Here is a 24,971-nt window from a genome sequence, read left to right as displayed (position 1 = left end):
ATTTATCAGCTCTTGCAGAATGGGATGGGAGCCAAAGGAGGAGATGAAGGGAAACTGGTGAAATTCATCAAGTTGTGCTCTGTGTACTGGCCAAGAGAATGCAGTAGGTTATTATTCAAGCATTTTCCACAGTAGGAACACAATTTGACCACTACCATATGTTGAATTTGAAATTACATGTTATCCTTTTCCAAAAACAATCCCATAAGAATGTCCATACTTTTGTCAACAAATGGCTTTATCCACTAAAAAGGGACACACATACAGAAAGAGAGAAAGTGTTGATATTTACTAGCTCACTGGGAGACATAACATTTTAATCGTGCTACACAAGCCAGACTGGCTTGTGATGATGGAGAGACGGGGTGATGAGACTCCAATACATCACTGTTTCCTTTGCCGTAAAAAAAACAACGGCATCCGTCTCCCTGTGGCATGTGAATGGGTTCCAGTCAGTGGCCTTGAAATATGAGGCTTTCCTCTTCACTTGAGGCGATATTGGAGTTATTTGGAATAGATAGGAGCCATCTTTCCAGTCCTAACACAAAACAAAGGCATCATTGTAGGAGCAATTTTGAAAATGTATGAACTTCATAAAATGTTCCATTTTCCACATTGTGAGTTTGGCTTGCACAGTCGAAACATCAGAGCTCAGAAAGACTACCTATTAAGGTCTCAACCCTTTAGCCTGAGTGTCTGACATTAACAAAGAATAAAGTATGTATCCTATGCAACAGTCATCAATAGTGAGACAGGAAATAAATATGTCACTTTGCATGCCATCCAACCCCAACAGCCAAGGTAGCCAGCAGGTTCAGAGATGTTTCAATGAAGCTGTTCTGCATTTATGTTTATTGCTAAAGCCATATTTTTAATTTCCACATGATGAGGTTTTAAAAGAGTTTCTGTTAGGTCTACAGTAAAAGCGACTGCCTTAACATATTAGTAAACAAAATGGAATATAAATGTGTTGGTTATTTTGTTTTCTTTCCAAAATGAATCAATAGCTCCAAGGCACTTCAAAACAAAATCCACATCAAAAATAAGCTGACACGATAAACTATTGTGGTGAGCACATGGATGCCAAATCCCCCAGCCTTTCCTTCAGGCTTCTAAACACAATACATGTGGATGGCTTTGAAGGAAAACCAAATTTCACTGAAAGACACTGGACTCACCAAGAACTACGTGTTTCCTAGCAGAGTTGACAGGACTCTAGGACTCTAATTGTTCTCAAAGATTCAGCTCATTCGGTTATTCTTGATCACTCGGGGAAATGGGGTCTGACCCACTGGCCAAGTGTAAAAAGAAATAAGCAAGTGAAAAACCATGAAAGGCAATTTTGTGAAGTATTTTGGAATTGTTTTTCAATTGATGTTCATCATTTCCTCAATTGAACTGTGAATTTTCTGGCTGGAAGAAAGCCCTGTCTGCTCCTACAGAGAAAACCACACATTCGTGCCCAGAACTGTTTTAAAACTCAAGTCAGCCTGCAAATGACATAGATGTGGGCTGTGTTTGTTTGTGGGGTGTGTGTGTCTCCCACACAGCAGAGATTATGTGACTTACTTTGACCTGTGGATGCAGGCAAGAGGGGGAACGTAGAAGTGAGATATTTTTGTTTGCTTTTTAAAATTTGTATTTTAAAATATTTATAGATTCATACGAAGTTGAAAAGCTACTACAGAGATGTCCTTTGTCTCCTTTATACAGTTTCTCCCAGTGGGTGAATCCTGCATGATTATAGCACAACAGAAACCCAGGAAGCTGTCCCTGGTACAAGGTGTGCCTGGTACCATGTTACCCCCTGTGCACATCTGTGCAGCCACCTCTGTGATGGACGTACAGGACATTTTATCACCATTAAGATCTCCCTGGAGCTACCTGGTGGAATTGTGTCCCCCAAAACAATAGGTTGGAGTGAAGTCCTTGGCCCTAGTCATGCTGACTATGACCTTATTTGAAAATAGGGTCTTTATGGATGTAATCAAGAGAAGATGGATGAGGTCATACTGGAGTCGGGCGGGCTCCAAATCCAACAACTGGTCTCCTCGTGAGAAGCGGGGAAGAGGCACAGAAGTCCACATTGGGGGAGGCCATGGGAAGATGGACGCAGAGGCTGGACGGATGCATTTAGGAGCCAAGGATGCCAAGGACGCTCAGCGGACCCTGGAAGCTGGGAGAGGGGAAGAGAGATCCGGATCCCCCCTAGGGCCTTCAGAGGGAGTGTGGCCCTGCCCACGCCATGATTTCAGACTCCTAGTTTTCAGAATGGTAAGAGGATAAATTCCAATTGTATTAAGCCACCCAGTTTGTGATCATGTGTTATGGTAACCCTGGAAAATGAATACTTACATGTTTACAGTCACACGCTCCTCCCCTCCCCAACTCCACCATCTCTAGCTCACGACAGCCACCAATCTGTTTCCTATCACTATCACTTTGTCATTTTGATAATGTTATATGAATTGAATTCTACAGCATGGGACCTGTCGGGGTTGGCTTCTTTCACTCAGCATAATGCCCTTGAGATCTACCTGTAGCTTGCTGCTGTCTTTGCTGAGTAATATTCCCGGGTGTGGATGGCCACAGCTTGCCTACCCGTCCACCGAGTGAGGGGCATTTTGGAGAGTTCCATTTTTTTGCTATTACAGATAACGCTGCCATAAGCGACCATGCACAGTTGTTTCTGCAAACGGAAGTTTTCATTTCTCTGGATAAATGGCCAGGAGAGCAGCTGCCGAGTCCTACTGGGAAGTGTATGTTTAGTTTCTAAGGAGCTGCCTGTTCTCCGGAGTGGCCTACACCTTTGATACCCACACCAGCAATGTGTGGATGATCCTGTTTCTCCATGTCCTCACCAGCGTCTGGTGTGGTTACTCTTTTCTAATTTAGCTGAGCCAATAGGTGTGTAATAAGAACTCATCGCATCTCTCTAACAGCGAGTAATGTTGAACATCTTTCCACGTGCTTTTTCGTCATCCACATGTCCTTTTTAGTGAAATGTCTCTTCATGTCTTTTGCACATTTTCTAATTGGCTTGTTTGCTTTACTGTTGTATTTAAGTGTTCTTTACATGTCTAGATAACAATCCTTTGTCAGATATGTGGTTTGCAAGTATATTCTTCCAGTCTGTATCTTCTCTCAACAGGGTCCTTCTCTGCACATGATCTTAAGGCTAACAGGGTCCTTCAAAGAGCCAAGCCTTTTTTGATGAAATCCAATTTATTGATTTATTTCTTTTATGGACTGTGGTTTTGGTGACATGTTTGCAAACTCTAGGTCTTGAAGATTTTGCCCTATGTTATTGTCTAAATGTATAGTTTTATGTTTTATACTTGAATCTATGATCCATTTTTAGCTAATTTTTGTATAAGGTGTGAGGCTGAGGTTTCTTCTTTTGCTTATAGATATCTAATTTCTCCATGGCTTCATTTATTTATGCAATTTTACACTAAAATTAAATAAACATCCTTTTTCCTTTTGTCTCATTTTCCTGCTGGATGCTGTTAGCAGATAACAGTCTCAGTGCACCTGCTAATAATGTTTACCTCTCCTGGGAGCTGATCTGACACAATTTTAGGAAGCTAGCAGTCTCACAAAACAGGAGTCTAGAAATTGAGACAGTTCAGTGAGATTTTCTTATCAGGAAACTACTCCTGGAACAAGGCAAGATATAAGAAAAGAAGAGATTGTTTAAAGAACAGGAAGTTAACAAAAAATCCAGGAAGCAGTTGGACCATCGTAAGAGTGCTCAGAACTTCAAGGGGGTGGAAAGGCCCCTATGCATCCTGGACTTCCTTCCGAGGGCCACAACTGAGGGGTCTGGGACTAGCGTCAGTCACCCCGGAAGCTAAACCAGTCATCCTGGACTTCCTTCTGAGGGTCACGACTGAGGGGTCCAGGACTAGCATCTGTCACCCCAGAAGCTAAACCAGTCATCTCCATTGGATTTCCAAACACCCTCTCAATATCTAATAAAACATCCTTTTAGAAATACCTCCAGTTACAAAAGAAACCACCAATAACTGCATTTCTTTAATTGCACACACACACAGACACACACACAGACAGACACACACAGACACACACACACACACACAGAGTTATCAAAAATGATGACATGCTAATTGAACATTTCTTATTCACCATACTTGACTGAATCTAATGTTGACTGTTTTCAAAATAAAAACTCCACCGTCATAGGATACATGGCTAGCATTCAAAAAAAGAGACAACTGTAATCCCAGCATTTTGGGAGGCCAAGGTGGACGGATCACCTGAGGTCAGGAGTTTGAGACCAGCCTGGCCAATATGGTGAAACCCCTTCTCTACTAAAAATACAAAAATTAGCTGGTCATGGTGGCAGGTGCCTGTAATCCCAGCTACTTGGGAGGCTAAGGCAGGAGAATCACTTGAACCTGGGAAGCAGAGGTGAGCCAAGATCATACCACTGCACTCTAGCCTGGGTGACAGAGCAAGACTCTTTCTCAAAAAAAAAAAAAAAAAAAAAAAACAAGAGAGAGAGAGAGGCCCCAAAATATTTTTTTTGTAATTCTCATTGCCTCATTTTGGAAGTATGCACCCTTCCAAAGGGATTATCTTGAAGGAAACAACACTTTTCAGTGTATACGTTTGAGTATGCTTCTTTAAAATCCGTAAACTTTGAATCACTTTATTTTATTGAGATGTCAACATGTAATTGAATGTGCTAGGGAGAACTCACCTGACAGTTTTCTAAGTGCTTTCTTTCTGAGTCTCTGTTCAGCTGGCAATCCCCCACTTTATTATGTGATCTCCCCCCACATGTTTTTCTTGGCCAGGAGGAGAACATCACGGTGCAGGGCAAACACAGGGGCTGGGATTTACGCAAAGACAGTGGATAACACCAACCTATCTCTTCTCTTTCTTGAAATCTCATTGTAAAATACAGAAAATGGTCTTCTGAGAGATAGAGACTCACAATCATTGTTTTTAAGAAGAAGACAGGAAAGAGCAGCAGTGAGGTTCTGGGGCTAAGCAGAGAGCTTCTCAGTGCTGGGGCACGGCACGTTGCTCAGATCAGCTTTCCCGGTGAGAGTAACAGAACGCGGAAGGAACTCTAAGAAGCCTATTTAAAAATGACTGACTAGCGGATGTGATAGAGAGCGATTATCAGGGTAGACCATAAGCCTGTAACACAGAGGGGGTGGCCAAGCACAGCCCAGCTTTCGTCCCAAGGATGCCAGCTAAACCAAGGAAAGGTGAACTGGAATTTCATGATCTCTTAAAGTTTGGAGACATGGGAATGTGGGGGCTTCAACAGGAAGTCCTGCTCTCCTAAAGCCGGGATCAGAAAAGGCCACACTCTCAGCAGAAGAGTAAAACCCCACCCTGAAACACAGGATGGATCCACGTGCTCCGGATAAAAGGGAAGGTCGAAAAGCTAACAGAGTTCGGATACAAAACAGAACAAAGACGAAACAAAAAGCTGCAGCCGAACCCTACCTGCTGCTCCATGTTGAAATCTGCCTCCTCAAGTCGGGAGCGAGACCAGAAGGAACACCCGAGACTCCGACATCAGCGTCAGCTGCAGGGGCTCCCGGAAGGACAAGGTGAGAAAAAGAAGCAAAAGGATTGGAAGGAAAACAACAAGGAAAATGGATATAATCTGCATTTTTAGATCATATCACGGTGAACATAGGAATTTTAAAATAGTAGAATGAATAAGAGATTTTGGCCAATTTTCTGACAACCCAAGCAGAATGGTGGGTGTTGGGTGGGGGAGTTTGCCGCTGAAAATGCCAACGTGGCTTTGAAAACCTGGGGCGTGCTTGTTTAGGGATTTGGGTTTGAAAACCTGGGGCGTGCTTGTTTCGGGATTTGGGTTTGAGCTCCTAGTTGGAAGAAAAGATGGTGAAGAATTTTGAGAAAGGGAGTGGCATGATGTAAATGATGCCATCTTTTTAAGGATCACTTGGGTTGGTCCAGGAAATGTGGGGTGTGGCCGGGAGGGCAGTTGGAGGAGGGGGAGGGGACAAGCAACTGGGACCGGGGGAGAGGGGAGAGGGGGAGTTCAGCTGGGGACGCCTGCAGGACGTGAGGCTTGCTGGACCCCAGTGGACTGATGGTGGGTCTGAGAGAGAAAACTCAAGAATAATGTTTAAGTTTGTGTCTTAAATGAAAGCTAACTCAATCCCAGTGACTTGGGAGACTGAGGCAGTAGGATCGAGGGAGCCCAGGAGTTTGAGGCTTCAGTGAGCCACGATCGCACCACTGCACTCCAGCCTGAGTGACAGAATGAGAGCCTGTCTCATAATAAAATAAGTAAAATAAAATAAATAAAATAAAAATGTGAACAATGATGCTATTGACATAAATGTGGAGGGTTGGAGTCGGGACGTGGTTGAGGGAGCAAATACTGAGAAAGCTGCGTCCTATAAAAGGTGGCATCCATTCAAAAACCAAGTGGCGTCACTGTGGGAGAAGTTGGTGGCAGTTCCTCTTCCTTCTCAGCCCAATTTCATCGCCAGCCCATTCCCCTGGTAACTCCATGTCCCTCACTTCCCTCATCCTGATCAGGGATGACCGAGACCCATGAGAAGAGAGCCTTCACTGGCCCCATCAGGACCCAACTAGGACTTGCTTCCACCTGTTCTCCTCTTGCCAGAGATAAACCCACGACGCTATTGCCCGAGCCACTGCTGTGGGGCTTCATGCCCTGGGTCCCGTCCCCCTCACTAATTCAAGCACATGTCTGCAGCAGCTCTCTCTCCCCGCCTACCATTAAATTTCCCCCTTTCAGTCAACTGGGGGCCTCATGACCCACAGGCATCCCTCAGCTGAATCGTTCCTATCAGCATCAAAACCCATCTATCATGTTCCAATTTTATATAAAGTCACCCTGTCTACACCGCGTTCCCCACCAGCTAGTAACTCCGTTCTCCCAGGGCAGGCATGGTCTGGATGTCTACCAAGCCTCTTGACCGTGTGTAGAGTCAGGGCTCTCAGAGAAACAGAACTGGTGGGAGCCATACCTTTATCTAGGGTGAGATTTACCTTAAGGAATCGGCCCATGTGACTACAGAGGCTGAAAATCCCCACAATCTACTGTCCACCATGAGAGGCCTCAAAATCTACCATCCACCGTGAGAGGCCCAGATGATCTGCCAGCAGGATCCCAGCTCACAGGCAGAAGAGCCATATCTCAGCTTTGTGTGTCAGACACACAGAGAGAGTAGTCTCCATTCCTTGGCCTTTCTGTCCTGCTCAGGCCCCCCACAGATTGGGTGAAGCCCACCCACCCTGGGGAAGGCCACCTGCTTTACTCAGTTCGCCAATTAAAATGCTGGTCTCTTTCAGGAACTTCCCCACAGACATACCCACAAATAATGTCTTACCAGCAACCTGGGCACCCCTTAGCCTAGTCGAGTTGACATGAAGTTGTCCATCACTGTCCCTCCAAGTTAGTGACACATTTCTAGACATCACTTGCGGTTACGGCCGGCCATGTGACTGAGTGCTGGTAATGAAACACTCCTGGGAGTGACCCAACTCCTCCCCGGCCCATGAAATGCCAGCACCAGCAGAGCATGTCCCTGTGTGTCAGCCACGTGGAGAGGACCTTAGAGATGCTGGGATTTGAAGGAAGCTGTCCTTACAAGACTCTGTGGAACAGGGATTTCTCACCTCCCCCCTCAAATTCCCACCCCATTAGACTTGATCAACTTGAGCGAAAAATAAAATCTAGTGTTTAGCCACAGAGATGTTGGCTTCCTTGTGAGAGAAGCTGCCGTGACTTACGCTAATTAATCGACAACCCCAAAGCTGCCCAGGCTTGCTGTTTCTGTCTCTTTCCTCCGATTTCTTTTGAAGCCACTCTGGTTGATTTCACCTCTGCTAGTCCTTGGGGACAGCTTGTGCCAGACTTCCCAGGGCATCTGTTTGCCTAAACCAACAGTGAATGTGGAGTCCTCCCCTCCCCTGACTCTCAGCACCGTGGGATACACCTGGTCACCCCCACCCCATCACATTCCTCACCCAGCTCCTGGGGCTCCACTCCTCGCCCCGTGCTCCTCCCACTTTACTTGCTGCTCCCTCTCACTCTCCTTTGCTGCTGAATTAAAGGTCAAGTGTTTGAAACATGGTGAGAGAACTTTCAACCCTCTATCTCTCTTCATAGAGGCTCCCCTCCTAATCCCGCCACTCTTTTACATTCAACGCCAATGTTCGACCCCAATCAACAAGGGTGAGGCTATGGGAGAAGGAGTGCTGAAAACGGCCGAAAATGTCATGTGGCCCAGGGAACGTCTTCCAGGAGGGAGTTTGGGTCAGAGTTGGGGCTGAGCAGAACCGTACCGGGTTCAGATCACTGGCGAGGTATGGGATGTGGCACGGAGACCCTGGTAACAAGGATGCAAGGTGGGCTGGCTGGTTGCGGTGGCTTCAGAGCGCAGTGTGGATGATTGGTGCTAGGCAAAGCCAGCTCTGCGGGGCTCTGCGGCCCAGCACAGGGAGGGAATAAGACAGGGAGTAAGATGTGGATACAGGTGTCCCTTCCAGGGGCGTGGGAAGTGCCACAGGCCTTCCTAAGTTCTTCCCAGCCCTCAGTGAAGACAATGCTTAGGGTGGGAATCCTGAGTCTACTGTGATTGAATAACATACACAGGTGCAGGTGGAGGCCATGACGCTGGCTCTTCATCGTCATGCGCCTTTTTATGTCGGCATCGCTCACTCCTCCGTCACTGGCGCCATCGCCTTGTTGCCTGCGGCACCTGCTCTTTTTGCCACCCACACCCCATCCTCTCCTCGTTTCCCCTGCTCCTTCTTTCTGGAGCTGCCCTGGACTCATGCTGTGATGTCAAGCAGCCTCTTGGGGTTTTCATTTCTTTCTCTGTGAATTAGGCTAACAATGTCCTAAACTATGTTCTGTGAAAAAAATAAAATAAAATAAATCTAGGGACTCCAAAGTCACTATGCCAAAGGGAAGTCAAGCTGGGAACTGCGTCAGGCAAAACTGCCTCCCATTTTTTTCCTAAATAACATGCTACAAAGGTAAGAAGCTACATGCCTCCCACACAATTTGCCCACAGGAAATTCCCTGTGGACAAAGGACAGACAGAACTCAAAGTCATCCCTCTGTGCACCTGAGACAAATTCATACATGATCGCTTCCTCTGCCTATTGATTCACTGAGCCAGACTAAGGCATCAGTGACTGTTCCTCTGCCCGCCTCTCACATGTAAATTGTGTGTTCAGTGAAAGGCTCATCAGAGACTCAAAATTCAACCTTTTGTCTCTTATCTATTTCTGACGTGGAAGTCCCCTCCTGGCTTCAAGTGGTCCTGCCTTTCTGGACCGAACCAGTGTGTACATCTTACACATATCAATGGATCTCATGTCTCTCTAAAAGTTACAAAACCAAGCTGTGCCCCGACCACCCTGAGCACATGTCATCAGGACCTCCTGAGGCTGTCGTGGACACATCCTTAATCTTGGCAAAAATAAACTTTCTAAATTGATTGAGACTTTTGGGTTCACAGTTTGCTGGTCCTGGTACTATCAAGATAAAACAAGAGCAATAAAAAGATCACTGGCAAACATTAAGTGCCTCAGAAACGTAGCATGTTCTAAATAGTGTTATTTTTGCCTGTGGGGCTACTTTTGTGCTTAGAGATTCATAAAGCGAGTGAAATAATGTTATGGATTTAGTGGTAATCCGTGGTTCATCCATATCATTTATTCACTCTGAAATTTTGTTCTTTGTGTTCATTGGACATAAAAGGCATGTGATAGGGCCAAGTGTTTTTATTGAAAATGTAACACAATAGTATTCCCCTAAAATGTATTTCATAAAAGACTGATTCAAAGGGGAATTTAGGAGATAAATTATATTTTTAAAGAACATGGACGAAGGAAAGAACAGTTTTTCATGGACTTATCTGTAGGAAAGTTGCATCTTCTTTCTTTAAAACTGCAGAGTCCTCAGGTGTCAAAGAATCAAGGAAGAGAACATAGGCATGCCTGAGAAATCCCCAGAGTTGAATATGCAGGAAACCCACTGTGGTATACAATAGGAGGAAAAAGTTTGTTCAAGTTCCGCAACTCTAACAAAAGAGACTGAAATCAGTGGAGTACCAAAAGATTCTTATCACACTGTGATCACCCCCAAAGGCCACCTGGAAACAAAAGCTTTTATAATAGCGTCATGCCAAAGAAAAGCTTTTATCTGTTTTAAATAACTTCAGTTTAGCTTGAAGTAATAATTGGATTTTCTCGGGCACTAGGATTGTGCGTGTTTCTGCCTGTGTGCGCGCATGCACGTGTGTGAGGAAGAGAGAGAAATGAGAGAGGGAGAGAAGAGTAGGTCTAGTTGATCAAAATGTAAGTAGAGAGTAGGCTTAGGGAATTGTTTTATTTTATGACAATTTCTTAAAATTAGTATTATTTAAGTGAGTTGTGCCTCCCATGCCTATTTTTAACAGCAATTCTTTTAAAAAGGAATGTATTACAAGCAAATATTTTACTTGTGGCTGTTCTTTAGATAGCATACCTGTATTAGGCTGAGAGCATCCTTTAATAATTCAAAAGACTTCACTTTCATTCCCTCTCATCCTATTATCTAATTCTTAAGGTGTGAATGTGAAGAGAACAGAAATTGTGCAAGCAGTATGCTTCTGCTAAGATAGTAAAACAACGAGGAATACGGGCTGTCAGCCCCTTCGCTATCATCACAGGCGATAGAGTAGGAGGAGGCCATGTCGATAATAATAGGGTAATCCGTCCGATGGGTTGTGGCCTCTTATCTGTTGTTAGCTCTCCCACCAAGTGGTCCTTTCTAGCTTGTACCCTTCTCTCCCCCTTTCTGTCTGCAGCCTGTCCCTGGATGCTCATAAGCAGAGTGGCTACAGTGCAGCAAGGAAACCTTCCAGCAAACACTGCACTTGGCACAGCCGCAGGTCACGTCCCTGCCCACCAGGACCTCTCTGTGATAAGGGCCAACGATGTTTCCATTCCTGTTCATGAAATCACTTGGCGATGAGTGAAATCTGTGTGCGTTGTAACAACAAATGACTGCAACAGAAAATCACCAGATTTCCATCATAACTCAAATGCCAGCCAGGCTTGGTGGATGGGCTCCTCGCTGAAATCTCCATAGCTGCATAATCATTAGCAGTGAGAACAGTCACCTACACGTGAAAGAATGACTAGAGGAAAACAATTCACTCCACTTAAGCAAAGTGATGCTCCCTTTGGCTAATCTAAATACCTTGGGGTTTTGCTAGGTCTTCTCCTTCCTCTCTTCTTCGAGTAGATGATGGAACTTTGAAAGCCAGCGTGGGAGAGCATTACATGGCTGGATGAAAACTCTGCTGGGTTTACAGTGAGCTGGCTCATTATTCAGTGAAACCTCCATCCTTATTCAGCCTTGAATATTTAAATCCATACAGATCGGAACTGTACTCCGGAGCCTGGGAACACCGTGCAATGCGCTCTAAATCCCTGCTTTCATGCGCATGAAAGACCCGTCATTTTTACCCCTCCTACCAGCCTAATTGACCGCATTTCCGTGAACACTCGCTTGCTGGTTCCTAGCAATGAAGACTGTGGGGTCCTTTCTTTCCAAGGTTGTGCTGGAAAGTGGAGAAGGTAAAGGGGAAAGCAACAGGCAGGCAAGGGGAATCCGGGAGAAGGGACTCATCTGCAGCAGTCATGCCTCTCATGGAATCACAGGCCAGGCTATGAGGAAGAAACGCGGGCTTTGCTCTCGGTCACCTAATGACGCTTTGTCATTTTTAAAGGGCATTGCACTGTGATTGCCATGGATACATGAAAAGATAATGTGCTATTTTTAGCATGAAGCATAAAATAAAATCCAAAGTTGGGCAATATGACCCTCACGCCTCCAGAGAGCCTCATTAAAATGAGATGTTTCCCTTCAGAGGTGAACTCAGTAAGTAACGTTTAAATTTCTTAATCAGGCCACACAGAGTTCCCAAATAAAAAATAGTTCTGAAAACAAATCCTTCTGTCAGAGCCCGGGGCTTGCACCATGGCAGCAAAATCCTTCTGACTTAAAGTGGAGGGAGGAGGTGGTCTCTGAATGAAAGACATTTCAAATTTTCAGTGTTCTAATTGAGGAATAAAATGGTATATATTCAGCTAGAAAGTAACCATTGGATCAAATTATACAGTCTTTTGAGTAAGCCAATGTCAGCTTAATAATATTTTAGCATATAATAAAGTCGTGTGTATCAATTCTCATTTTGAACCCAGGTTGAATGTTACTGCTTCAAACAGTAAATAAAAACTGAGATTCTGAGAATAAGGCCAGCTTTGAATTAGTCAAAATTGTTTTTATTACTAGCAAACAGGCAAACCTGTGATAAAACAGCATTCATTTTCCCCATGCTATTTCAATATCCTATGTAATTTTTCACTGTTGAAAGCACTCCCAGAGTACCCTCATGAATAATCCCTGAAACCCCAAATAAATAAAAACCGTTCTCTGATGAATGGCAGTATTCCACTTCCTGCAGTTGAAATGCAAATTATTTTATCTAATTGCGGCTGTGCGTGGCTCCTGACCCAATGACCATCCCCGCAGATTTTCAATGCTGGAGTGAGCCTGGGCACCTCATTCCTTTGCAGACACAGAAGGCAGCAGAGCTGAAGATTTCACCACATTACAGGGTTAGGACTTTCAAATCAAGCCTAGTTCGAAGAGGCCGGCCAAAACCTAGCATTGTGTCGAGATATGCAGCTGTGCTCAAATACGGCTTCCGACCTGAAGACCCAGCTGTCAAGACATTTTTCTCAGTTTTATTCTACCTTCTAACTCTTTCTGCCAACAAACACATTAGCCTGCTTTGCCTAGCACATTGCTCTTTTTTGAAGAAGATCACATGTATGTAAAAACACTGACTTTCCCATTGATTCAATTTTTTAAAAACTATCTTGGATAACAGCAGTCCCAATAGACCAGGTTATCCATGAAGTGATGCAAATCGACAGGAAGCTTGACAAATTCTTCATGAGCTGAGCTGATCTCGACGTCGAACTGAGTCTACTCATCTTGTAAACTGGTGAACCATTTGACCCCCGTAAGGCCAATGTCCTTGTGTCTGAGTCAGAACTGTTCATGAGGTCTCCAAATGGGCCCGTGCAACAGCGGAAGATTATCGTCATAGGAATGCTTAACAGTAGCCCCCTTGAGAATAAAAGATTTCATAGCAGAACTCACGAGTCCAAGGATTTCAACGCTCACCTGAGTTCTAGTCCCAATGAGCAGTAACTCCAGGAAGGCACCAGCGAGTACTTGAAGGACAGAGTAGACCTAGAGCAGCCTGGACTCCACTTAATAATGTGTAGGGATCAATTAACAAGAGATTTGCTGGGCACAGTGGCTCATGCCTATAATCCCAGCACTTTGGGAGGCCGAGGTGGGTGGATCACCTGAGGTCAGGAGTTTGAGACCAGCCTGGCCAACATGGTGAAACCCTGTCTCTACTAAAAATACAAAAATTAGCCAGGTGTGGTGGCACACACCTGTAATCCCAGCTACTCAGGAGGCTGAGACAGGAGAATCAATTGAATCCAGGAGGCGGAGGTTGCAGTGAGCTAAGATCACTCCACTGAACTCCAGCCTGGTGACAGAGTAAGAAACTGTCTCAAAAAAAAATTAATAGACAGTGACAGACCAACAATGGGTGTATTCAGTAGGTCACATTTAGGGTGATAATATTTCATGGTCCATGCCATAGATTATTTGTGTCCCTCTAAAATTCATGTATTGAAATCGTAACCCCACTGTGATGGTGTTAGGAGGTGGGGTTTTTTGGAAGGGTTCATCTAGGTCTCAAGGTAGAGCCCTATTAAAGAGATCAGCGTCTTTATGAAAGAGCCTCAAGAGAGCTCCCTCTCCCTTTCCACCCTGTGGACACAGCAGGAAGGTGCCATCTATGAACCAGGAAGTAGATCCTCGCAAGACCCTGATCCTGCCTGCACACTTGGACTTCCAGCCTCCAGGACCCTGAGACACGGGTGTCTGTTGTTTTCCAGCCAGGCAGTTTGTGGGACATTGTTACAGCAGCTGAAATGGACTGGGACTGTGTACCTCTGCATTTATCTAGGAAGCTCCTATGCGTGTATTCTGATACCAGAACACATGTGTGTTTATTTTTAGTGCTTTTGCAACTTAGACCAGATTAATTCATTCCTTCCACACACACGTTTCCTGCCTACTACATGCCAGGCACTGGGCAGAATGCAGGGCATGGGTCTTGACCCATTTCACATCAGGAGCTCTCCCATGACCCCAGGCCTCTGAGCATTAAGTCAGTGCAGACGGAATGGAATTGCTGACTTTGCATCTGCACTCACTTGCACTATTCCCCCACTTAGACCTGTTGAATATGGAGGGTAAGGAATGACTGTGGCATGGTCCTGTCCCAACCTGACGAGAAGCTTGGGTCTGTCTGAAGCCCAGTGTCCCCGATCAGGCCAAGACAAAAGGCAACCCGGTTATCAGGGATGTGAGGTGACATGAACTGACGGGTAATTCAGGAATACCAATCTGTCCTGAGAAATAACACCCAGCTCAGGAATTTGGACCGGAAATCTATTACCCCACCTTACCAAATTGCCTTTGAAGTATATATGTTTCATTTTATTTTTTGAAACAGAATCTCACTCTGTCGCCCAGGCTGGAGTGCAGTGGCACGATCTCAGCTCACTGCAACCTCCTCCTCCCGGGTTCAAGCAATTCTCCTTTCCTAGCCTCCTGAGTAGCTGGGACTACAGGCGCACACTGCCATGACCGGCTAATTTTTTGTATTTTAGTAGAGACATGGTTTCGCCGTGTTGCCCAGGCTGGTCGCAAATCCTGAGCTCAGGCAATCTGCCTGCTTTGGCCTACCAAAGTGCCGGGATTACAGGCGTGAGCCACCATGCCTGGCCTTGAAGTATATTTTAATACAACAAAAATGTTTCTACTTTTACAAAACGTCAGGATCCAAAGTTTAAGCCCTCACCTTAAATAAGGGAAGGAAAGCCTTCGAGTCACAGGATCTCAAGATCAGCCAGGTGGCATGCAGGCACAGAGTGTTATTGAGATAAAAGAGATTGAACAGAAGTAAAGAGAGCAGTTACGTGAGTGGACCACCCGCCCGGAGAGGGAGGCCAAGGAGGCCAAGGGAGGGAGGCCTGAGAGCCGCAGAGGAAAGTGGAGGAGACTTCAGTGTCACCCACAGGACTCAGGCTCTCTTTTCAGGAACTTTTAACTGATCAGCTTTTATGCAGATAAATGAGGCCATCTTTCCTGTCCACCCCACCACCACCACCACCACCACAACCAAAAGCATTTCCACTACACTCTCCACATATACATGGTATCAAAAATCCCATTTATTCACTTTTATAACAATATACATGAACAAAAAGACACATTTTAGAACCTAATGGCTTAGGACATCAAGACCTTTTTTTTATTATTTTTCCTAGAGTGAAAAGTATTTATATATTCATGATACTGGAAATGTATTTATTGAGTATACATTTTAAGAAGAAACCACACTTAGACAACCACTGATTGCTTAATTATATTTATAGAACAATCTAAATGACACAAGCTTTGGAAATTTAAAAATAATAACATAACTTGGAAAAATCAGGAGAGAGAGGAAGAAGAAAATGAAGAATGAGTCCATTTGCTAAGTTCCTCATATCTCATACAACAGTAGATAAAGTTGATAAATTTCAAAATGTTATTTTAAGTGAATTATTTAAATTCACAAAGTAACCCCTGGATGAATAAAAGAAAAATAAGAAAGCTATTAAAAAGCAAGAGACTTGGATGGTGCGGTGGCTCAGTCCTGTTGTCCTGGCGCATAAGGACGGGAGGCCAGACGTTTGAGACCAGCCTGGGCAACATAGGAAGCCTTCATCTATACAACAACAACAAAAGAACAAGAGGTTTGCTTAGCACCTGGTAGGTAAGTCTACTGGATTATTAATTCTTCTAAACGAGCATCAGCAGACACCAAGTAAGGCTGGGCAATCGAGAAGCAGACACAGAAATTGTTAAAAGTGTTTTTTCCAGGGCATGAGACTAGGAATCATGGGAGGCTTTTCATCAGAGAAACTTCTAAATGATATAAGTGTTGGAAGTTTAAACACAGTCACATAACTGAGAAAAATCAGGAGATACAGAGGGGCAGAAAAGCATCAGGTTTAAAAGATTATCCCATACACATGTGTTAGTCCTGTGATATAAAGAAATACAGACATAAATAATTATGGTATATTAGTAATAATACTTGTGGCCAGACACAGTGGCTCACATCGGTAATCTCAGCACTTTGGGAGACCAAGACAGGCAGATTGCTTGAGTTCAGGAGTTCGTAACCAGCCTGGGCAACTGGCGAGACCCACCCACCCCGCTGCCTCCATCTCTACAAAAAATACAAAATATTAGCTGGGTGTGGTGCCACATGCCTGTGGTCCCAGCTACTTGGGAGGCTGAGGTGGGAGGATTGCTTGAGCTCCGGGAGTTGATTGAGGCTGCAGTGAGCTATGGTCCTGCCACCGCACTTCATCCTGGGTGAAAGAATGAGTCCCTGTCTGAAAAATAAAAGTAAATTAAATAAAATTAAAATTAAATTAAAAGTATGAATAGAGAAAAGTGTTCAAGATATATTTTATTGATAATTTTTTACTGTGGTAAAATATGTACTTCATAAGATGTGCTAAGTTAACCATTTTTAAGTGGACAATTCAGAGGTATGACATCCATTCACATTGTGCGACCGTGACTACCATCCCTCCACAGAACTCTGCATCTTCCCAAACTGAAACCCTGTGTCCACTAAATAAAACTCCCCATTCCTCCATTCCCTCCCCCTGGCAACACCATTCATTCTACTTTCTGTCTCTGTGATTTTGACTGCCCTAAGCACCTCCTCTAACTAGAACCATAAGTCAGTGCACTTCTGAGACTGGCTTGTTTCTCTTAGCAAAATGTCCCCAAGGTCGTCCGTGTGGCAGCATGTGCCAGAATTTCCTTCCTCTTTAAGGCTGCATAATATTGTATAGTATGGATAGACCACATTTTGTTTATCCATTCATCTCTTGGTGGACAAGTGCATCTTTATACTCAGATAAACACACAGAATGCAATGAGTGTTTCCATGGGGACACAGGTCAACTCACAGTGTCCAGTGGCAACTCAGAAGCCATCTGGTCTACCGTCTCTGCAGCAGCCCTCGTCTGACCATCTGACCCTTCATTTGCTACCCCTCCCACATTGTCACCCCTGAAATGTTCATGGACTTGCTGGCCTACCTTCAATGGCCACCCCCACTGCCACCCCTCAGGTATGAGTCACAGGGGCACTTCTTTGTTCACCGCAGCCCCAGTAATGACAGCTGTTCATGGCATGCAGTAGGAATTTGATAAATACTGTTGAGTGCATGAATGAATACTTGCGATGGTTACACTGGGACCAAAAAAAAAAAATCAAGAAACGGAATGAAATGGATGATGACTTTTCACTTTTAATTCTATGAAGTTTGATTTTTGAAATCTATACCAAGTATTATATTCTAATTTGAAAAGTTTAAAAATAATGACCTGGAAGTAAATAACCCCTAATCCGAAAGGTGAGCTGTAGTCGGTAGGGTCTTCCATGTACTCAGGCTCACAAAGGAGAGAGATGGTGGCTTAAGGAGTCCCCAGCTGTGCCCCCAAATCTCCTCTCAAAAATATGTGTAGCCCAGGCTGCACCCAGCCCTGAAACCAGCCCAAGGCTCTCCTTTCCTCTGCTGTCAGAAGGAGGGACGCCTAGGGTCAGGAGGGGCTTGCTGTGGCACCTCCCACACACCCCCATGGCCAGCTGACCCCAGTGCGCTGAGGCTTTCAGGACTTTGCTGAGTGTGTGACCACGGGCAGCTGCGAATGACCCTGCGGAGGGGATGGTGCCAGCCGTGTGGCCGGCAAGCAGCAGGCTGTGGTGGCAGGTAGGAACTTCCTTCTGCTCAGGGAATTGCTGCTGGTATCAACACAGCCCGAAAGAAATATGCTGTATGTCATTAACTTAGGTCTGTTTCAATTACATTCCATCAGAAAACTGACTCTGCCTTTTTGTGGAGAACTTGACTTTACGGGTTGGCTCTGCTGGGAACAGGTTTGTAGAGGAAGGGCTGAAACACGAAACAAAGAGAAGGTTCTGAGAAAGGCCAGGACGATATCCTGTTGTTGTTCAGTGATTCCCTAAACAGAACACTTTGTGAGGGCCCTGCTGGAGGCCCAGGGTGGCTGTTCCTAACAATACCAGCAGCCAGAGGAAGCTGTTAGATGAGTGGGTCAGGAGGAGGCGGTGGCACTGCCCAGGAGTCATTTCTGGGTCGTGTGTGGTGGCCACAATTTGCAAAACAGGAAGGAGAAGAAGAAAAAATGATTGGCAAGTGGCAAAAGGAAGGCAAAAGTCGCACTCTGCTCCCTGAAAGGCAGCAGAATTAAATGGCCAGCAGGACCAAGCAACATCCATGTGGTGAAGGAACCAACCTGAAAGACAAACAGAAAGAAACGCTGGCAGGTGGGGAGTTAGGGGAGTCCGTGAAGGGCATGGCACTCACCAGGAACCAGCGCAACGCCCCCTGCAGCCTGATCTTCCTGGCACCGAAGCACACGGCCTGGGAGCTTGTGGAAGACACAACATTCCGATTCAGTAGCTCCTGAGAGTCTGTGTTTCCAACAAACTCTCACTGCTGCCGGCCTGGGGACCACACTTAGAGACTAAGAATTGCGTTTGCTGCTTCTCCCACCTTCCGCACGGTGGGTCCACCCAGGGAGCTTTAACAACTGCCAATGCTGGGGCCCCAGCTTCTCCACTTGTGATCTAACCGGTCTGGGGTATGGGCTGGGCTTCAGAATGTTTTAAAGCTCCCCAGGTGACACTAATGCTCAGCAGTTTGAGAAGCACTGATGTGGATGAAACGATAATAAGTAACCAGTGGCAATGTGGAGAATTTCAGCCAAGCAATACCCTCATAGACTCCTAAAAAGCCTGAATCCTGGATAAACTTTCAAATCACAGAAGCACATCTTTGTGTTTCTTCTTCATTGGAACAGGTGATAACTGTGCAAATAAAACCAGTTGCCTCCCAAACTGCTCTGAGTCTAAAATAGGACCAAAGAGAAAGAAGTTTTCAGAAAACAAGATGGCCAGTGCATCAGGAGTGAGTTCATCTGGACAGGAAGAGAAACTCACAGTGTCTCCTCTCCTAGGGTGTCCATCATCAGCTCCACCTCTTCCTGAGGCCACCTCCACCTCACCACTTACGTCAGCTCTTCCAGTTCCTGAGCTCAGCTGAACTACCTAATTCGGGGATCTTGAATATCAGCTAGAATTTTGCTGGGTTGAATGTAACAAACAGGAAAAATCCATGACTTATAGGAGATTGAAGGGTATCTCCCCCACACAGCTACGAGACTGGAGGTGGTAGGGCTGGGCTGGGGTGATGGCTTCCCGGGCATCAGGGTCCCAGACTCCTTCATTTCATCTCACTCACTGCTCTGCCTCATGGTAAAAAATGGCTGCCCAGGTGCCAGCCAGCACTTCCGCACAGCAGCCAGGAGGACGAGCAGGGGGCAGCTTTTACGCTCTCCTTTAAGGCAGTCCTGTCCATTGGTCAGAATTTAGTCCTGTGCCCTTCCTAGCTGTGAGGAGGATTGCAAAGTGTTGTACTTGCCAAGACAGAAGTCCCAAGCTACAAAGTTGGAGAAAGAAGAATTCATACTACAAAGAATCCAGTAGTCTTCAACAAGTCCTCTTTTACTTACCCTATTTGACTTCCTACATCTCTTCTCTAACCAGTAATTCACACGAGCCAGGTACTATGCCAAGCCCTTCATACCCACTGTTGCGTTTAGTCCTCATGCAACCTCATGAGGGAAAATTTTCAGAATCCAAATGGAGTTCCCTGTGTTAAAACCCTGACACGCTGGGGAAGGCCATGGAGGGAGGGCTCTCATGAGTGAGGCATTGCAACTTTTCACAAAAAACCACTTCTGCCAGGACATCTGCCAGCAACTGCCTGTCCAGCCTCAGACAGGCATCACCCTTGTTATTGATCCTTGTGGCCCAGGATAATTATCTCAAAACAATTCTGCAATCCTCATTTTCTTAAAAAAAATTATCTCTTTTTACTTCTCTGGATAAGCAATTAGTTTACCATGGCACACACATGCCCATCTTAATGCCTACGCCCGAATAAACACCATTGTCCTTTAGATAGTTTCCTTCTTTGTTATTTAGGTTGACAGAGGTCAGCTTCATTTAGACAACTTGCCAAGGTTACCCAGCTTAGTTTAGGTAACTTGCCAAGGTTACCCAGCTAGCAGCTGATGTAATTAAGGTTTGAACCCTGGTATGTCTCACTCCAAAGCTATTAACAACTCCGACGTTTCCGGCATGGGTTTGATAAACAGACCCAGAACCTCACAGTAGAGGCTTCTAAGCCAATTCATTCATAAGTGCCTGAGCCCCGCCCCTGGAGAAGCCAGATCTGCACATCACAACTGTGGGCTCCTGCACTGCAAAGGCTACCGACTGTACTTTAGTTTTGCTTTGCCTCTTCCTCCTCTTCCTTCTCCTTCTTCTAAGAAAATATTCCAGGAGCTTCCAGAGTTGTGTGGTGCAGCAAAGCTCTAACTTCTCTCCTGAACTTTGATTTCTTATAAGCTTAATAGAGCCGGGTATTCAAGTCATAGCGCCTTGGCTAAAGAAGCATTACTGAATTGTTCCCATTGGCTTGTGAAATTCTTTATATAAAATATGAGCTTGTTTCCTTATTCCTTGTCTCCATAAACAGAAGTCAGTGAGCCCACACCAACATCCCTTTAATGATTTCAGATGATCCAGTACCTTGCCTTGTCATTCCCAATATAAATCTCATCAACCTTTAAATTACATGTGGAGCGGGAGTCTACACCATAAACACCAACCTGGGGAAATACATTCGACATGATTTCTTACAGCAGCCCCTAACACGACCTGTTTTCCCTGAGGTTGAGCTCTGCTTCCTAAATATGCAACAAGCAGGCAAAAATCAGGCTAATGGATCATTCTGATCCGTTGAGTTATGGTTTATTTGAAGAAATGTTCATTTCCTCAGGTCCCTTAGAGCACATACGAGTTTCACACTTGCTGAAGGTGAGTTTCTCGACATCACTAGTCCTGTGGCTTCCCATGCAGCCAGTGCAAAGGGAAATGTGCAAGAGAGACGCCTTCTTCCAAGTGCTGCTCTTCGCTTTAGACGATTAAAAATCATCTCTCGATAGCCCCTCCACTGCAGAGCATTTTCATACACGTCTTTCCGTCTGCAAACTTTTGTTGGAGAAAAAAAAAAATCTACCTAAGCCAGTCTCCAGGTATTGTGTCTACAGCTGGGTGCATCTGATAAGGAATAAACTTGAGTTATCACCAGGGGCTCTGGAGTCAGCATCTAAGAAATGACATTTGGAGAGAAGATGAAGGATCCCCTGAGCGGACATCCAATGATGGTTATGATAAGGTCCAGGAGCCTCTGTGTGCAGAAATGTTTATGTAAAATCAGATCAAATAAAAGGTCTCTCCCTGGTCCCTCAGCCAAATCATCTTTCACTTAGTGTAGTTAAACAAATATTGCTCCGGCTATATCAGATTTAACCTTTTTAAATGTGCACTGTGAGTTTGTCCAACCTTTGTTTAAAAAGAATAGCACTTTTGAGTTCAGGCCTCTCTGAGGAGTTTTGCTTTCCTGCCAATCTTTAGGAGAGACCTCCGTCCCCTTGTTTAGGTTTGGATGGAGAACCAGGAAGACAGACATAGGTCACTTTACCAGGCTGCCTGAAAAACACCCACAGCACTGAAATAACTCTCACCAAGAGAGACACCAGCGGGGCGGGCTCTAATTTGGAATTGAACCAAAACAAGCCAAAAGGGACCTCAAGAACCATCTGGCCAAGAGCATGGGGTTCGAGGTGGACTTGGCTTCCAGACCCGGCCCTGCTTCATGCTGAATGGGAGGGCTCACAAGACCGGAGGTCTCAGGCTCTCCAGACCCAGCTTTCCTATAGAAAATAGGGAATAGGGATGGTAAAAGTAACCGCCTCGTCTAAGTGGTTGTGAAAATTAAATAGGATCCTGTGTAGGAGGTACTTAGCATGGTGCAGGGAACTGTGTAAGCTTTTGTTAGATTTTCCCTGGCCCCAGACGGCATACGTGGTTAATTTCTGTACCAGGACTAGGAGCCGGTTCTCACTGACGGCCATTCCTCCTCAAGGGGGAGTGTCGCGGGGGCGGAGCAGACAAGGCTGACCATGTCCCCTAGTGCCCTGGGGCCTGCCTCACTTCCCACAAGCATGGCCCTCTGCAGTCTGCTCTCAGGCGCATGAGGCCTCACTGTGCCCAGACCACATCTCCAAATTCAACCCCTTCCACTGCATTCTGCTGAGCCGGAGTTTAGTCACAGAAATGCCAAGTCCCGGAGCAGTGGTGTTGCCATCCTAAAGTGGGGGTGTTGTGCTTTTTGGGTGTGCCATGCCCCTTCCTTAAGGCCTGTAGTTACACTGCTTTCAGCTACTGGGACCCCCTGGGCCAGCCGTCCACCCTCCCTCCAGGTGTCTGTTTAAATGGCATTTTCTCAGACATCCCAGTACAGATTAGAACTTGTTACACACCCGTACAGCACCTCGTGATTTTCTCTTCAACACAGCATTATGAACTTGGATGGTTTCATTTCTCTCTCTTTTTTAGAGACAAGGTCTCTAAAGAATCATCTCCGAAAACACACTCAAGGTTTGCAGGGCACAGCAAGGAAGTGTCAAAAGAAACACATTGCCGAAGCACGATAGCGCCACTCAGGTCTTTCTGGAAGGACCTAAAATGGACACGCTCTCTCTTCCCCCCTCCCAAGAGCTGATGACGCTGTTGAAAACCTAATAAGAGAGGAAAGACCCAGGTGGAAATGCTCCCTGCTTCCCCGCTCTGGGCGACCCCAGGGCTGGGGTGAGAGGGGACACACCCACCGCTTGTGTAAGAATCCCCCATGATTTCTGACACCTGGTTGCTAAAAAATCACATCATTCTGCAGGCAGTCAGTGAAGGACGCTATCTGAGCCTCTTGCTAACCCAGCTACATAGCTTGGGATCCAGTCGGTCCGTTTTGTCTTGGCTAAGAGCACAGCCATTTCGCTAGCACTCGATAACATGGGGTCTCTAGGACTCCATTAAAATCTTAGGGACTTCACACCAGGATAAAGTACACTCTCTTGTCATTTTCCATTTTCTAGGAAGACTTCTATAGTTCGATTTTTTTTTTTTTTTTGAGACAGAGTCTCATTCTGTAGCCCAGGCTCGAGTGCAGTGGCACCATCTTGGCTCACTGCAAGCTCTGCTTCTCGGGTTCATGCTATTCTCCTGCCTCAGCCTCCCAAGTAGCTGGGACTACAGGCACCCACCACCACTCCCGGCTAATTTTTTTGTATTTTTTTTTAGTAGAGACGGGGTTTCACCGTGTTAGCCAGGATGGTCTCGATCTCCTGACCTTGTGATCCGCCCACCTCGGCCTCCCAAAGTGCTGTGATTACAGGCGTGAGCCACCACGCTGGTCTATAGTTACATTTTTAAAAACACAATCGCTGAAAGCAAACATGGCCAGGAGACTTAGGGTGAATCTCCGTTAATCACTGAACGGGAAGAGCTAGCTTACAGAAGTTAGGAGCTAAAACAGAACTTGGGAGGACCACACCAACGAAAGGGACAGAGGGAGGACTATAGTCTGATGAGGATGCTGGTGTCCACGGCTCCTCTGCACGGTTGGTGTTATTTCTCACTGGTAGACTCTGATAAGCTGAAGGATGTCCTGCCCTGTGATGCCGGAAATGCCTGGAGGCTGAGAACCCCTCCAGTGTATATGTGGATGCTCAGAACAAGACGTCACCGGTTTTTCCTCGATTCCTTCCCAAGAGCTGCTATCACTGGGAGAAAAATGTACATCTTTAGGCCCAGCCCACTGGGTGCCTGCATTTTTCCAGCAGCCCTCGAGTCCTGTGGTGTTGCTAGTTATTTTAATTGAGTGACACACAAGGTGGGTATGAATGAATTTTACAGCCAATTAGGGCTAAGCATGGATTGTACAGGAAAGAGAGTCTTTTTAGTGCAAATTTATGGTCCACTCAAGACACATAACTTATGACAGGACTAGTAACCGCAGCTGAGCAGGCTTCTTTCCGGAGCCTCTTGTCCTCTAAACGGGTTTTTCTGGACACTTGCAGTAGGTAAGGAGGCTGTCGACTATGGAACTGAGCGAAGACAGGTTCGGGGCTCACCCTTACCGATCCGCTCCGCAAACCTCGGGAATCCCTCTGCCTCTCTGTTCTGTTGTTCTTACCTAAACAATAAGCTATCGGCCTCAGCTGTCTCCGGGAAACTTTGAACTCTAAGAGGGCAGGTTTTACTTGTTCTCCTCGAAATGCATTTCAGACTGGGAGTGGAGTGTGGGAGCGGGAACATTAAGTTAGAGCAGGCTGCAAACCCTCCACCTGGAAATGTGTCTGCACTGCTGTCACCAGCCTGTCTGGGTCTCGGCTCTGTCCTTCCCTTGGTGTGTCCTGGGGTAGGCGTTGAATGAGAAAACCATGGTTGCAGAGGCAACACATCCTTTCCTTGAACAGTGTGCACTTGAGGAACGAATTAAGACCCGTAAACAAGGATGAAAGCCCCCGCCCCGCAGACTTCAGCTCCTCCTCCATGAAGGACGCCGCCTGGGAGGTGAGTCCAGGCCGGGCCAGGGAGGGCCTCCTGTGGGAAGGTGCATTTTCACCTTACAGCCGGGAAGTAGACAGCTGCGTCACAGTTTCACTCATGCCGGTCTCTTCCTGTGCACATTCAATGTTAACATTATTCTGGCAAAAGCCTTGCTGCAGATAGTCTCTCCGGTCCCTCCTACATC

The 24,971-nt window shown here is 45.8% G+C and overlaps 2 long non-coding RNA genes across 2 annotated transcripts, besides 1 other annotated feature; one reads left to right on the top strand and one right to left on the bottom strand.

Annotated features, from left to right (window-relative positions):
• Positions 1–270: 270 nt before the first annotated feature.
• On the bottom strand, positions 271–5,864 carry LOC107987146 (uncharacterized). The gene is made up of 2 exons (XR_001747320.2): positions 5,488–5,864; positions 271–538 (listed from the first exon to the last, which is right to left on the bottom strand). It is a non-coding gene; the product is annotated as an uncharacterized LOC107987146 (long non-coding RNA).
• Positions 4,878–12,508, top strand: LOC124902537 (uncharacterized). Its single transcript, XR_007062361.1, has 2 exons — positions 4,878–5,594; positions 10,854–12,508. It is a non-coding gene; the product is annotated as an uncharacterized LOC124902537 (long non-coding RNA).
• Positions 19,568–19,733: a silencer, noted in NCBI's record as "fragment chr10:3305040-3305205 (GRCh37/hg19 assembly coordinates)". NCBI's record gives its function as "represses an EF-1alpha promoter that drives an FKBP-Casp9 reporter gene in an ReSE screen in K562 erythroleukemia cells {active_cell/tissue: K562}" and the evidence as "EXISTENCE:reporter gene assay evidence [ECO:0000049][PMID:32094911]".

Source organism: Homo sapiens, chromosome 10 (assembly GCF_000001405.40).
Source record: "Homo sapiens chromosome 10, GRCh38.p14 Primary Assembly".
Taxonomy (NCBI): Eukaryota; Metazoa; Chordata; class Mammalia; order Primates; family Hominidae; genus Homo; species Homo sapiens.
Note: the sequence above shows the minus strand (reverse complement) of the source record. Positions and strands in the feature narration are given on the sequence as shown.